The following is a 17,218-nucleotide window of genomic DNA, read 5'->3' as shown; positions in this document are numbered from 1 at the left end:
TAATTATATGTAGAAATAGATTTGCATGTTCCTATAAATATGGGTATAAACATGGGTTAATACATAAATACCTAAATATGTATGTGTGTGTGCATGTTCGTATATATATTCACACACACAAACTCATGTACATATATTCTATACACACATTTTCATATATGTGTGTGTGGATATAAATATGTCTGTGTGTGTGTGAAAATCTATTCCTTGCTCTGTTAGGTGAGGGGCTAGCAACAACGGGAAAGTGGTAGCAACAAACCTGATGCCAGGATTTTGATTTATTATACCATGATCCAAGGAGGAGACATAGGACTCTATAGAGAAATGACAGTCTCAGACTACTGCAAGTAATATACAAAATGATCCTGGAGCATCTTCTCATGTCATAAAGCAGAAACTACTCAGAAAACAAAACAAAACAAACATATACACACAATGATATGGTATGTCAAAGGGGCACAGGAGCCAAAAGAAAGCTGTCAATGGTGGAAGCTGGATGAATTTTGAGAAGCAAAACAAAGTAATACTGGATTAAGTAAAAAGCATAAAATAAATATCCATGAATCCACACTGATGTAAATTATTGAATAAATATATGAAGAAGAGACAGTCTTCAGTGCAGAAATACTCCAAATACTTTAGGTAGATACTCTGCTATCAAGGAGGTGGATTATAACTCCCGATTCCTTAACTATGGGCGTGTATAGTGACTTGCATTCAAAGAATATATGGAAATGGGAAGAATCACAAGTGTAATTAGCAGCGGGACACCTAACAAAGAAACACTACATCAACCAGGTTGAAGGTGATGAAGGTTAACATAAATAGTGATAAGTTTTGGTGATAATAGGTATTAATATTGTTGATACAAGTGATAAAAGAACACGTCACTTTCGTGGTCTGCCTCCTCAAAACACATAAGCTCAATTTAATCATGAGGAAAATAATAGATAAGTTCCAATTGAGGGGCATTCTACAAATTATCTCTCCAGAATTTCATAAAACTGTCAAGATCACCAAAAATAAGCAATTCTGAGAAACTGTTATACCCAGTATAAACTTGAGGAATCAAAGCAACTAAATGTCATGTAGTGTCCTGAATGGGTCAGTAAAACGACATTAGGTAAATCTTAAGGATATCTGATACAGTAGAGGCACTAATTACTGCTAATATTTCAATACTGGTTCATTAATTGTAACAAGCGTACCATGCTAATGTGAGATGTTAATAATGGATGTAAAATATCAATAATGATAATAGTCATTAAAAATAACTGGGTATGTATTGTATAGATACTTTTCTATTTTTGCAATTTTCCATCAAACGTAAGACTATTTTAAATTAAAAGTTTATTTAAAGCCACAGATCTTATATTATGCTAATCTTCACCAGTCATCTTTGTATATGACCACCTAATATCTGCCTAGAATTTTCACATATTTATAAACTCGAATAATTATCTCAAAATATTGTAAATACAGTAATTTTAGCAGACTGTACAAATGCAGAATGCGGTTGTTTGTGGCAAACCTGGTCTGTGGTCCCATTCATGTTTCATGGTCCTACATCACCACCACACGCAACTTACCCCTGGAGGTTAAGAGTATATCATATATAGTAAAGTAAAAACTGTTTAGAAACAGTTTTCAGAGTCCTAGATGTTGTTAGCCATGCTGGTGGTGTTGTATGTATGGAAACAGAATATGTATGATGTGGTGTGATTTTGTGAGTGTTTCTTTGGCAACGAAAATAAAGAAAAACTAATAAATCAGCAGAAATGTTGAGGCTGGGAATCATGGCTTCTACCTGTAATCCCAGCAATTTAGAGGCCAAGGTGAGAGGATTGCTTGAGTCAGGCAGTTTGAGACATCAGCCTGAGAAACATAGTTAGAATCCATCTCCACAAAACAAAAACAAACAAACAACAACAACAACAACAAAAATTAAAAATTAGCCAGGTGTGGTGGTGCATTCCTGTGGTACTAGCTACTTGAGAGGCTGAGGGAGGAGGATAGCTTGCTTCAGCCTGGGCAACAGAGCAAGAAAAAGGAAGGAAGGAAGAAGGAAGGAAGGAGAAAGGAAGGAAGAAGGAAGGAGAAAGGAAGGAAGGAAGAAGGAAGGAAGGAGAAAGGAAGGAAGAAGGAAGGAAGGAGAAAGGAAGGAAGAAGGAAGGAAGGAGAAAGGAAGGAAGAAGGAAGGAGGAAGGAAGGAAGGAAGGAAGGTAGGAAAGAAGGAAGGAAGGAAGGTAGGAAGGAAGGGCTCATCACCAGTACTGTAACTTGATAGATGAATGCACTTCAGCTTCTTATTAGAGATTAGTTTGAGGTTTTGTTTGAAAAAGAAGTTTCCCTACTAAAAATAAGGTTTAAAGTCAATTTGGTCAATTAAAATCTTATGAAAATTTATTTATTATTTTAATGAAAAGCATTTTATTGAAAGTATTTAATATTGAACACAAGCACTTTGAGGAAAGAGAGCAAAGAGTCATATATTAACGGGGCGTAAGAGTTCAAGGCAAAAAAAAAAGCGAGAAGCATGCAGACAGGAGATTACTTACACATGCATTCTAAATTATCTTTGGATTTCCAGTGACCTACCTAATGTGGACACATAATAACTTTATATTTTATGTATAAGCATAAGTCTAAGACAGTACTATGACAATGGAAAAGAAATATGAGATGGAAGTAGAACAAATTTTTTCTAAATCTGTTGTTTTGTTATCTAAAGATTATTTAAATATTCAATCTGTAATTTTTTTGTGTCAAGTTACCATACAATTTTTTAAGTATTTTATTTTATTATTATTATTTTTTGAGACAGAGGCTCACTCTGTCACCCAGACTAGAGTGCATTGGCACGATCTCGGCTCCCTACAACCTCCCCTCGCTGGTTCAAACAATTCTCCTGCCTCAGCCTCTGGAGTTGTTGGTATTACAGGCTCCCCACACCATGGCTGGCTAATTTTTGTATTTTTAGTAGAGACAAGGTTTCGCCATGTTGGCCAGGCTGGCGTCAAATTCCTGGGCTCAAGTGATCCACCCGCCTCAGACTCTCAAAGTGCTGGCATTACAGGAGACAGCCACCAAGCTGGCCAAGTTTCTGTGCAATTTTCAAATGTTATATTCAATTTTTGTGCATACACTTTCATTGACCAAAACAAAGATCATGGACCAGTGATGGTCAGTGGAACACATCTGGAACATGACTGCTGTAATACAATACCTAAAAAATAATAAGTGCTTGGTAAAAGACTTCTATTATTAACACCTAACAATAGGTCTGAGTCAACCATTAAATAATCATCTTTGTGAAACCATTATTGAAATGGCATAGAAATTTCATGTAAATAATATTAAAATTATTCTAAAATAATAGAAGCAATAAAAAAGTATACTTGTAGAAAAATAAGCATTAAACTTACCTCATATTTCCCTTCATAAATAATAAATGCCACAAAATAAAGAATAAGGTTCATGACAATGTTAGTAGAAAAATTCTATAGTCTAATATAATTGTAAGAAGCATTTTTTTAATAATTGTAAGAAGCATTTTTTTAATTTAAACATCTTACATATGCAATCGTTGGAACATAGCTTATAATTAAATTCTGCTAACCCAAGTTAAAACAAAACTGAAGCATCAAAAATAATGAAAACCCCTAGCTATGCTTTCCAATTTGCAGCAAAATAGGAAAGCAATGGCACATTTCCAAATAGAAATGATGGGAGGTAAGAGTGGATAAGACAGGAAAAAAAAATCTAAAAACTCAAATATAAACACAAACAAAATGACAACCATAAGATGAAATAAAGCATTAAAAAATAAATGTATATATTGTACATCTTCATAAGATGCAGAAATAACTAAAGGGTTACAGAAACAAAGCAGAAAAACTGAAACAGATCAGTAATCTTGTATTAATTGAAATATCAAAAAGTAAATTCAAAAAGTAGATAATTTGAGTTTTTATAGCGTTCAAGATTCTAGGAAAAGAAACATTCAGTTCATTTATTAAAATATTCAATGTGTGACTCTAAAGATTGAAGAAATTAATAGAAAAACAATAATAAAACAGTATCACTTGAATAACAATGCTAAAATAAAAATCCTAAAAAGACTGTAATGGAATACATATTAAAATAGCCTACTACATACTTAATATATATTTGGGCAAGAGAAAAAGGAAATGTGGCCAAAAAGTTTTAAAAATATGTTATAAATCATAAGTGGTCATATAAATGTGACTTAAAATAGTAATGTGAATTCTTTCTCTTACATGAAAATATCTAAGATTTTTAAAACCATGTTTAATGCCTTAAGTTTTAAATTTGTGCTATAATGAGGAGTATATTTACTGCAGCTGAGATTACTCAGCTCAGTAGACCCAGTTTCTAGGGGGGCTGAGGAAGGAGAATTGGTGGAGCCCAGAAGCTTGAGTCCAGCTTGGGCAACATAGTGAGACCCCCATCTCTAAAACACAAACTAATAAACAAAAAATTTGTCAATTCAGTAAAAAAAAAAAAAAAAAAATTTTAAAGATATATATATATATATATATATATATATACACATATGTATTCTGGAATACACATCTTTTAATACATCAGACATTAAATTACAGTTCCATACATATTTATAATTTGGACTCTGGAAATACTTTTGTAGGAATCATTTATAGGAAAATTATATGAAAAAAGATATGCTTTAATAAGAAATTTTAAAATGATTGTTTGGCTGGGTGTGGTGGCTCACACCTGTAACCCCAGCAGTTTGAGAGGCTGAGGTGGGCGGATCGCTTGAGCTCAGGAGTTCATGACCAGCCTGGGCAACATGGTAAAACACCATCTCTACAAAAAAAAAAAAAAAAAAAAAATATATATATATATATATATATATATATATATGTCAGCTGGGCATGGCAGCACAGGCCTGTAATCCCAGTTACTTGGGAGGATGAGGTGGGAGGATTGCATGAGCCTGGGAGGTTGAGGCTGCAGTGAGCCAAGATCACAACACTGCAGAGCCTGGGCAACAGAGCGAGACCCTGACTGGAAAAAAATAAATAAATAAAATAAAATATAAAACAAAATAAACAGATTGTTTGTAGCCTTCCTTATTTACGTTTTAATTTTGTTGTTATGTTTTTTGGTCTGACACATTGCATACATATTGTCAAAATTTTAAAAATAGACATTAAAAATGGACAAAAAATATAACATCATTCACAATCTGACCATCTAGGTATATACAAATGCTGTTCACATTCTCCCGATAATTATTTGTTTTTGCAATTGTGACAATTATACACATACAAATACATATACAAACACATTTTAAAATGTTGTTTCTTAACAGCACATGAGTTTAACATGTTATAATTCATAAAATTAAAATTTTAAATAAACAGTAAAAAATTAAACATTAAATTATAAAATTCATTAAGCCACATTATTAAATTACAGATTAATTATCTATGTAACTGAAATTTGTATGCAACCTCACATTGTTGAAATTACAGCTAAGATATTTTATTATGATAATAAATACTGGGAGAAACATTTTATGATTTAGGTGAAATATCAGAAAGGTAGTTGAAAATATAGTAGAAATTATTCATTTTATAAATTAATCCAAGAAAGCAGAACTATGAAAATTTATTAGTAAATCAGAAATAAAAGGAAACATGTATAAAAGTTAAAACTTTTAAATAAATCTCAAAATCATTTTAAAAAAAGTTTCTTGTTTTTCGACAACTGTATTATTTATCTTTTTCTGTGTAACAAATAACCCCTAGAACTTAGACCCTAAAATAACAAACACGATGTCATAGTTTATTTGGGTGAGGAATCTGAGTGTGACTTTCCTTGGTCCTCTTGTTCGGGGTCTCACAGGCTGCAATCAAGGTATCAGCCAGGACTGCAGTCAGCTCAAGCTTAAGCAGGGAGGATTAGCTTCCAAGCTCACTCATGCATTTGTTGGCAAGATTCCATTTCGGGTTGTTGGAACAAAGGCCTCGAATCCTTGCTGGCTGTCCTAGTTCTTTGCAGCATGTACCTCTCCATAGGGCAGGAAACACATGGCAGCTGGGTTCAGCACAGCAAGCAAGAGAGAATGTGTAAGAAAATGCTAGCAAGATGAGAGCCATGGTGTTTTGGTAACCTAGTAAGTCACATACAATCACTTTTGCACTATTCTATTCCAGAGAAGTGGGTCACTAGATGTAGCCCACACTGAAGGGGTGGGGATTATCCATCTTGCCTGAATACCATGAGAGGGATCACTGAGGACCGTCTCAGAACCTGTGCACCACTGTGACATATTTAGTGAGAGTATAGTATGTGATAATACCACTCAAAATTCTGAACAGTTTTTGGTTGGACATTCTCATGAATGACAGAGATGGTAAATTGGTACAACTTTCAGGATACCAATCTGAAAATAGATATTAAATACCACGTTTTATTTTAATCTGACCAAAACTGTCTATTGTTAGGTCTTTAAAGACATGAGAATGCATGTGCACATATATGTAATTATAGTAATGGCCATCGCAATGTGGTTAACAAGAAGAATCATTTTGAATTTTTGCAATAATGGATCAGTTAAATGGCTGCATACTTAGCATTGCTATTTTAAGTGATGTTTAGAATAGTTCCTATTAATATAGATAAAAACAAATTACAGAGTAATGAAATAATGTATGATCCTCTTTTCATTTCTCACTATCTGTGTATCCTATCCATATATCTATCTATGCATGTATATATATAAAATGTTTATCTACAGGTTCTGGGATGGCAGTTGCTTTTTTTTTTTTAAACTTTAGCTTTTACGTAATTAAAATTAATATATGGCCAGACACAGTGGCTCACTCCTGTAATCCCAGCACTTTGGGAGGCTGAGGTGGACGGATCACGAGGTCAGGAGATCGAGACCATTCTGGCTAACACAGTGAAATCCCATCTCTACTAAAAAATACAAAAAAATAACAGGGTGTGGTGGCGGGCGCCTGTAGCCCCAGCTACTCGGGAGGCTGAGGCAGGAGAATGGCGTGAACCTGGGAGGTGGAGCTTGCAGTGAGCCGAGATAGCGCCACTGCACTCTAGTCCAGGCGACAGAGCAGGACTCCGTCTCAAAATAAATAAATAAATAAATAAAATTAATGTAATAAAAATTAAATTTACTTTCATGAGAAATGGGTAACATTTTATTTTAAAGAAGTTATAGAATTGAAACGTGAAAAGTAGAAGCAAATACATTTGCTTTTCAAAACACCTGCAAAAGTAAGAATAATAAAAAAAGGAAGGAAATAACGAAGGCAAGAAAAAAGGAAGAAAAGAAGGACTAAGAAAAAAGAAAGGAAGAAAGGATGACAGAATAGGATGAGGGAGTGTGGAGAAAGTAGAGAAAGAAAGATTATATTACCATATTTAACTCTCCATTCTACTTTACCCTGGTGAATTTAATTTTGTATGTAAGGCAGTAGCTTGGATTTGTTCACAAGTTACTGTGTGCTCATTTTCTTTAACTGCATAAACACTCACATATGTTGAATGATAGATTGAATATTTTATTACTTTCTTTTTAGACAAAAAATTTGGAAGTCATAAAACAGAAATCGATATTAAACTTTAACAGAATAAAAATATCTTTATTTTTGCAAGTATTTATGTGTGTGTTGGAGGAGTGTATTCTCTAATAAATGATGTATCATTTTCATGCTCTGATGTGATGCAAATAATTAAAAATTTTGGTAACTACTGATTTATTGGACAATGTAACAATTTTGTACACTCGATGATAGTCTTTTGTTTCTTATGAAGATATTTTATTGCTTAATTAAGTGCAACTTTTTAGAGACAAAATCATGCATATATCATTTAATCAGTTTCACTGTATAAGCAAAGTGAAGTGGAGAAATATTGGATTGGAGACTGGAGGTCTCTGTTCCTGTTCCCAGATATAAGGCTGACTGAGGACATAGCCTTGACATTTGACTATCAGTTGGAAATGGAGTGAATCATAACTACCTCTCAGAGTTACTGTTGTTAAAATTTAATGAAACAGTGTATAGCAAAAAAATAAATTGTAAGCAAATAACTCAGATTGTTCCTAGGTAATCCCATCATTTATGTGCAATCAGTAAGTTCTCTATTAGAATTATAAAAATGCTCTGTAAACTTATCAGCATAGTTATTTTAAAAACATGTCAAATTTAATTAACATTTTACAGATGTTTGAACCAGTTATTGAACATAACTAAAAGAGTAAGAGTACATAATTTTAATTAACTAAATTCACTATTAAATGGGCAGGATTGTGTGAACACATCTGTGAACAGAAGCTTCTTTATAAAAGAATCTATTGCAACCACAAAACCAAACAATATTTGTGTGAGCATATTGTAAAATCAATGAAAATAATTATCATTTTAAAATTTTGCTATGACATTAGTCTCTAAAATCATATTATGGCTCAAAAAAATTGAACTACAGCCAAGTGCAGTGGCTCACGCCTGTAATCCCAGCACTTTGGGAGGCCGAGGCTGGGAGATCACAAGGTCAAGAGATCGAGACCATCCTTGCCACCATGGTGAAACCCTGTCTCTACTAAAAATACAAAAATTAGCCGGGCGTGGTGGCGGGCGCCTGTAGTCCCAGCTGCTCGGGAGGCTGAGGCAGGAGAATCCCTTGAACTCGGGATGTGGAGGTTGCAGTGAGCCAAGATCGCACCACTGCACTCCAGTCTGGCAACAGAGCGAGACTCTGTCTCAAAAAATATATATATATATTTTACATTCAGAAAAATCTATATGTTTGGACCAAAGATAAATTACAGATAATCTCTTTGAAATTATGCTATAAGGTAAAATTCCATAAAAATTGTTCTCTCAATAGAAATAATATGAAGATATTTTGGTATAGTATTTTCAAACATTTTATTTATGAAATATATTTCCAGTCAAAAATGCATTGAATAAAGTATTTCAGTTCAGTTTATTTTTTTATTTTATCAAATTTTAATACTTTATTTTATCAAATTTTAATATCAAATTTTAAAGAGAAGCAACATTTTCTTAAGTATGGAATCATGTGGTAATTTGTAATTTATTTTACTTAATATTAAATATTAAATCTTGACATCATGATTGATATAATTTCTATGCCAAATTCAAAATCTTAAATTAAGTATGAGAATATGTTTATTATGACACCAAAAACAGGTATATTTGAGTTTCACATTTGATCTTTGAGTGGTGAGAGGCATTTACATGAGCAAGTCCTTTATTCTTGCTAATACAACATTCTCTTTTAGAATACAGTTTGCCTTTTGTGTTTGTGGATTCCTGTGTATGGATTTAATCAACCACTAATCAACAGTAGAGACTCCAAAAAGCGGTAAAGAAGAAGGGGGACAAGGACTAAAAACTACCTACTGGGTATTATGTTTACTATTTGGCCGGTGTGTTCAATAGAAGTCCAAACCCCAGGATTACACAAAATATTCATGTAACAAATCCATACATATATTCCCTGAATCTAAAAATACATGTATATGTTCAAAAAATTGTGTCTGTACTGAATATGTACAGATTTTTTCTTGTCATTATTTCCTAAACAATACAGTATAACAACTATTAATACAGTATAACAACTATTAACAACAGTATAACAACAATACAGTATAACAACTATTTAATACAGTATACTGTATTAAACAATACAGTATAACAACTATATTAAGTTTATTATAAATAATTATAGATTATTATAGTAATCTAAAAATTATTTAAAGCATACAGAAGGATATGCATAGGTTATATGCAAATATGATGCTATTTTATAGCAGGAACTAGAGTACCTGCAGATTTGGGTATGTGCAGAATATCCTGGAAACAATTCCCCACAGGTACCAAAGGAGGATTGTAGTTCAATAATTTTAATCAGAGCTGGATTATCTGCTCCTTATAAATAATTACAATTTTTATTCTTTGGATTAGAACAGCAGTGATCATCCTCTGCTTCATATGGGGAAAAATAGACTCTAGAATGCTTAGCTGGTTGAATGTATAAATAAATGAATAGTCTCTATAACTCAGTCATTTGAATCTTCATTATTATCATGCTCACCATCAGTTTGTGTATAGATATAAAGTCATTTTGAGCATAGTGGTGCCTCAGATAGAACAGGCATCTCTTAAACTACAGTCATCTCTCTAATTCTCAACGTTTTTGAATCTCTTCTACTCTATTAGTCTATCCCTCTGCTCATCAGTTTAGTCCATTTACATCTATTATTTGTATGTATAAATTGAAAACATAATACATTTTTTTGCTTAACAGGATATCCACAACTCCATTAACCTCAAAACCCTGCTTTATAGAACTCTATAATCACATTATATTTTTTCTAATGTTCAAAAATAAATAGGCTGGGCATGGTGGCTCAAGCCTATAATCCTAGCACTTTGGGAGGCCGAGGTGGGCAGATGACTTGAGGTCAGGAGTTGGGGACCAGCCTTCCCAACATGGTTAAATCCTGTCTCCACCAAAATACAAAAATTAGCTGGGTGTGGTGGCATGCACCTGTAGCCCCAGCTACTCAGGAGACTGAGGCAGGAGAACCGCTTGAACCCAGGAGGCTGAGGTTGCAGTGAGCTGAAATCACACCACTGCACTCCAGCTTGGGCAACAGAGCAAGATTCCATCTCAAAATAAATAAATAAATAATAAAAATAAATAAATAATGTTTTGGGAAAAATTTCCTATAATTTTAGAAAAATTACATATGTACTATTACTTTATTCAGTGAAAAATAACCACTGTTTTTGAAAAGATTGCATGCTTTTTAAAATGTGTATTTCAAAACTTTCACAAAATATGAACTAAGTGCATAGTTTTAATATTCAGTGACTCTCTTTTTAATGGCTTGGCTAACCCTTACTCTAAAACATCTACATCTATTCTCAGTCTTTTTCTCTTCTCTCCTTTTTTAAAATGTCTCAACTATTCTTTCAATTTTTTTCTCTTTCAATTTATTTTCATGTTTTTACTTTTCTTTTGGATGACTTGAGTGTATCATTACAATCAAATGCTCATTGCTTATTGCCAGTGAATGATAACGGCTTTGTGTTACCTTTCTCCAAAAGTAGTGGGCTTTAGGATATGTTTTGTCTTATTCTACGATAAAATGTGTACCATATAAAAGCTGTATCTCCATTGCAAACCTCAAATCATTTATGTTATCATCAGTTCATGCTGAGTTCTTATTTTGTGGCAACTCAATATATTTTCACAAATGTAAGGTTATTTTCCTTGTTCCTTTTTATGGCAACATGCATTTCCTTAAATTTACAGCTATAATAAAGAAGCTGGTTGAACCACTTAATATCTTTTTATCTTCACCTCTAGGATCAAGATAAGCTATATTAAAGATTGATGTAGTCTTTATAAAAAAGTGCCTCATTAGTTGGCTGCAAGAAAGTCATCCAGCCCACAAAAGGAAAAAGCTATGTTCTAGCTTTAATATGTGTTTAAATAAGAAAAATTTCCCCATAGCTAATTCTTAAACATAAATCGCTAAAAGCCTTTCACTCTTGAGATGCAATTATACTGAAGTGCTCTAAGTGGTGAGCTGTATGATAATGGCATTTGAAGGAAATTTTTGTCTAGCATGTAGAAGAGTAAATCAAAGCCAGTTGAGAAGGGACTATGTTTACGGAAATATTTCCTTATCATGAGAAATAAACACTTCCAAGTACTCACTATTTTTATGACAACCAAAGGCATTAATGCTTGTGAAAGCACTTCACAAATTTTTCAACCTATGCAAATTGTTCCCTTGTTATCTAAAACATAGTATGGAAATGGTTTGCATAGACTTGGAGTCCCTATTATCAAATTAATAACAGCTACCAGGAAGAGCAGTTAAATGAGAGTGGTTAGGGGGAAGTTAACTTTTCTTAAAGAGTATCTGAAAACAAACAAGAGTAGACACAACTATGAATGAGTCTTGAAGAAGTTAATCATATTTAAATTTCATTCTAGGACACTGCTATCCTTTTTCCTTTTTAGAACTTGGGTATCATGCTGCTTCTAAGTATAATTAAAGCAATTTATGTGCTATATTCTTAATAAATCATTGTCTTTCTATAGCATGGTTACAAGCTAGTGGGATATGTCTTATGTCACAGGTTTTTAAAATGCGTTTTATGCATATAGAAAATCTAATTAGATACAACTCCTATTGGACTGCTGTGAGCCCAATATGTAGGCATAGTGCATAGAAATAATGATTTACTTTTCAAAGAAAAGTGGAGGCATTTTATATCCCTGCATTTTTTACTCACACTTTTCACTTTTGAGGAATATTTTATCTATATTAGATCTTCTTGAACAAACAAATGCACTCTATTCCATATTTTGAAATCATTAGTGATTCTGATAGATTATTTTTAGTTAGCACTATTTGGGGGTATTAATCCAAAGTAGCACATTAAAGCAAGTTGCACAAAGAAGTGACCCCATGCTGATACAGCAACAGCAACGACAGCTGTATTCAATTGGCAGACACTTTCAAGGCTTAAGAGAAAGGCAAGTGAATGAAAGACGCAGAAAGCTGGCACACAGGGCTGCACAATAAAATGCATGCTTATTTCAGTGTTGCTGGATATAATATCCCAGGAGTAGCCTAAAATCTGGAACTTCATGTGAAATACTGTTTTTTTTTAAAAAGAGTGTCTGGCCCAAGCAAAGCATGTCTGCAGTTCATATGTGCCTTGTCAGATCTAATTTTTTTCAGACCAAATGTAAAGCATTCTATCAGAACTTTATTAGATTGCATGTAATAGATAAAGTCAGTGTTATTAATTAACAATATCTTATTTTTTCACATAAAGAGAATCTTCATATAGGTAGATGATGACACTAAGTTCCATATAATTTGTTTCCTTCCATCTGTTTTACTCTGACATTCCTAAACATTGGCTCCCACCTTATGGGCCAAGATAAATACTGTGAAAGAAAATCGAATCTTTGGGACACAAACTCACATATACTGAAGGGAAAGTTAAGCTTGGGAACTGAGTCATGCAATACTACTTTCCTTTTGTTCCCAGACAGATAGCTGTCATTTAACAACCCTTGTGTTGTTAGCCTCATGTATGTCATAGTCTCATCCATAAGCCAGGTTCCCACAATAGTAGAAGGTCACATATCTCCCTCGATGCCCTCCCTCAGAAATCTTTCAAGATCCATATCCCACCTATAAACTAGCCCTGAAACTGAGTTCTGTTGAATCTCACCCTGACGATGTCAATTACTAGCTTATCTTCATAGGTACAGGACAAGAACAAGATCAGAAATCATCCTTCCAACTACACTGAGAGGAATGCATGATTGACTTTCCTCTACTCCCTCTTTTCACATCCTTATCTTATGTAAAATGTAGATGTACTGAGTACCAGGCAAATGCATAATTGACTTTTTCCTCTGCTCCCTCTTTTCACATGTAAATTGCAGATTTACTGAGCCCTAATCAGAACCTCACAATAATGTAACCATTTGCCTCATGCCTACCTTCTTTTTTGCCCTCCTGCCTACTCTTTCCCCTTTAAATATGGAAGTCCCCAAAAACCTCTTTGGAAAAAGCACAGGTCACAGAGGCTCCTGAACTTGTGTTTTCCCCATTGCATCTTCAGTCTTTGACTAAACAAACCTCTTTCATTCGAGGCATCTGGCTTGGTCACTTTTTGGTTAACAATCCTAAAGCTCCACCCATTGCATTCTTGTTCCAGACTCTCCTGTCAGGTTTCAATCAGCCTGGTTGTGGTAACTCCTCACAATGACTCAGATGTTATATTAGTCCATTTTCATGCTGCTAGTAAAGACATACCCAAGACTTGGGTAATTTATAATGAAACAGAGGTTTAATTGACTCACAGTTCTACATGGCTGGGGAGGCCTCAAAATAATGGTGGAAGGTGAAAGAGGATCAAAGTTATGTCTTACATGGTCGCAGGCAAGAGTGCATGAGCAGGGGAACTGCCCTTTTATAAAACTATCAGATCTCCTGAGACTCATTCACTATCATGAGAACAGAACAGGAAAAACTTGCCCCCATGATTCAATTCCCTCCCACCAGGTCCCTCCCACGACATGCGAGGATTATTATCATTCAAGGTGAGATTTGGGTTGGGAGGGGACACAGAGCCAAACCATATCAGTTGCCAATGAAATGCTTTAGAATTGAAGGTTTATTGAAAGACTTTTACACACCACCAATCGTGTACACATTCACCCGACACAGTCAGTAATAAGAGGAGGGGTAACAAGCCCCAGCAAGTAGCATGGGAGAGCAGCACACTGAGTGATGAGCTGGGCAGCTCTGGATTTCCCATGACATGCTGACAGGGCTTGGGGAGGGGGTTCACTGCTCTTTCAAAGAAGAGTTTTCTGTGGCGTCTGAGGAGAGGAGGCCTCAGAGTTTTCATGGGCAGAGCGTCTGCAGGCATCCTGGCCATGATTGGTTTCTTTGATGTGTTATGGCCCTCCATAGGAATGTCCATGGTCATTATGTAAGCCACCTTTTAGCTTCACTTTCTTGTTTGGTCTTGGGGGTGCCTGGGCACAGCAGGCATTATCATTGCCTCAGTCCATTATTCATGTTTTTCACTTTGAGGGGTCGGCAGTTCCACTGTGGGCTGAGTCAGTTGTCATAAGTAACTCCATTTTGATACATTTAGGATCACAAAACTTTATTACATAGCACAGACAGAAAGTCAGAGGAAGGTAAGATTTTAACACTTCTCTGTTGAGAAATTTGATTGATATCACATGACACGTCTGCTTTTGTCTAACAGGGCAGAACTTATCACATGGCCATTTGATATGCAAGATGGAAGTGGGGAGTGCTATCTTATTTTAGGTCACCATTAGCCCAGATAAAAATAAAACATTTTATTATAAAAGAAGAAGAGGAAATATATAATGTCATAAACAGCTATGAAGACTTTGCTACAGAATCTTTTAAAGACAGGAAGTTGCAGAGCCTGATTGGCTTGAATAACATTTTCTTTCTTCAATTTATTAACCATGTGTCTTTAGGCAAGTGGTATTAGCATATAAGCATTAGTTGCTTCATCTTTAAAAAACTGATAAAAAGGTATTTACTCATATGTTTATTATAAGATGGGAAAAAGTTCTTAGAATGATGCCCATCACATAATAACTGTTAGAATGTATCAGCTATTGTTTAACAATATTGACATAAAATAGTGAAGAAGAAGCTACTTCAAGAAAGCAGAAAAAAACATCTGATAGGACTCTAACTAAGAATAGCCTTAATCCACAGATTTGGAGAGAGCTAGTCTGAAATAGGCCATCCATGATTTATGATGCACCTACTTTCCTAAGGATTTAGGACTGCTTAAAAGAGCAAAATATTTAATACCTTAAAGGAACTTAAAGTGGAATAAATTCAAGGTAAGAAGAAAATAATACTCCAAAAAACTCTATGTGGCTAGAGTTTATAAATTTCTCTATTCTATAAATTATGACACTAAGGCAGAGTGTGCTTAAATAATCTTCCTAAGGTCACCTGGCTAGGAAATGTTGAAGCGAGGGTACCAAGTCAGACAGTCTGAATTTCTAAAAGCATAATGTTAGTTACAAAACCAACTCAAAGGGAAGACTATCATTCAATAGACATGGGGGTTGAATTAGAGATCAGGCAGCTTTCTCTATCATTGACTTTCACAAGGATATGCAGAAGAAAGAACGTGTGTTAAGCATCAGAACTATCTGCAGGCCTAGTGGTGCTAAGGTGACAAAAATACAGAATGTTGCTGTTTTTTGTTTGTTCATTTCGGTTTTCTTCAAAAATATATGTTTCTTTGAAAGTTATCTTAGTTTTATTATTTTTTTAAGGGAAGAAAGCATTAGCAAAATTACTAGAAATGCTTAAAACTTTTAGAATTGCCGGCCAATTATTTTTGCAAAAAAGATTTAAAGAGAATCCAATTCTTATATGTCAAATGAAAAGACAATTCAAACTTAAATGAACATAATCTGGGAATGACCCTCACTTGGTTGTGAATATTATCAAATATTGCTGCTTCAAAGACATCATGTTCTGACATGAATAGCATACTTATTTGTCTTACAAAAAAACAACTTTATTCATAACATTTAGAAGGTTGTTTCTTCTTTTGTTTTCTATTGTGGCAAACCCTAAAGCCGTGTGCATGTCTACTAAAGATGTAGACAAGATTGAAGCTAATTGAGCTTTTTTATCTCCATAGGCACTTTATAGAGAGACTCCATCAGTCAAAACATTACATTCTTTCCACTTTGTTCAAGCCACGATGCTTATAATAAACCTATCCTCCAGCTATTTTCCATGTTCTTACTGTACCCACTGTTACTGATTATATATAATGGCATGCTGATGCCTATATTTAACCCTCCTACAGTTCATTGTTAAAATTAGTCATTATGGAGCAGATCACATCTTATCTTTGTATGTTTAAAGCTTGCTGAACAAAGACAGCAGGCTAGTCCTAAATGTTATATGACAAGAAAAGCATGGTTTAAAGCAATAATGTCCCAATTATGTTTAATCTAAGAAGAAAAAATTAGGATGCCTGAACAAGGTGTAATGTGCCTTTTTGTAAAACTGTCAAAATCCTTGTCATTTTTTTTTCCTTAGAATTACAAAAGAATTGCTGTGGCTTAGTTCTTTTAACAGAAGCTTTGATTGCAAGCTTTGATTTGCAAGCTATTGCTCTTAAGGAAGAGAAAAAATCACATTAGAAAATTATAAAAGAAGAATATGAAGTAGAAAAGGAAAACTGATACTAATTTGTAAAAGTATTTCACCAGTTTGTTTTCTTTTTAGTGTGTAGCAAAGGTGTGATGGAAATATAACGGTAGACGAGAGCACATAGTTTTAAATAAATAAATGTATTCCTCCATATAAAGAAAAATGGGTGTGGTCATTACTTGAATCTATGAAGATGGTAAGTTATAGTGCCCATTTATTCATTCAAACACTCATTTGGTCTTGCATTGAGGTATTTTGTAGATATGATTAACTTCCACAATCAATTGACTTAAATAAAGGGGATTGTCTGCATAATGTGTGTGGGTCTCATCCAATTAGTTAAAGGTCTAGAAAACAAAATTTAGGCTCCCTGAGAAATAAGAATTTCTGCAA

General features: G+C 34.1%; 2 long non-coding RNA genes across 2 annotated transcripts in view; both read left to right on the top strand.

The window, feature by feature from the left end:
- Positions 1-17,218, top strand: part of LOC105370291 (uncharacterized) — a 93,686-nt gene that overhangs the window by 51,288 nt on the left and 25,180 nt on the right. The window lies entirely within an intron of this gene.
- LINC00375 (long intergenic non-protein coding RNA 375) overlaps positions 6,137-17,218 on the top strand; it is an 82,971-nt gene continuing 71,889 nt past the window's right edge. Inside the window, exon 1 of the long non-coding RNA NR_126383.1 lies at positions 6,137-6,166. This is a non-coding gene — a long non-coding RNA (long intergenic non-protein coding RNA 375). The remainder of the gene's footprint in view (positions 6,167-17,218) is intronic.

The sequence above is a fragment of the Homo sapiens genome, chromosome 13 (assembly GCF_000001405.40).
Source record: "Homo sapiens chromosome 13, GRCh38.p14 Primary Assembly".
Taxonomy (NCBI): Eukaryota; Metazoa; Chordata; class Mammalia; order Primates; family Hominidae; genus Homo; species Homo sapiens.
The sequence above is the reverse complement of the archived record's forward strand: the minus strand, read 5'-3'. Positions and strand labels throughout refer to the sequence as shown.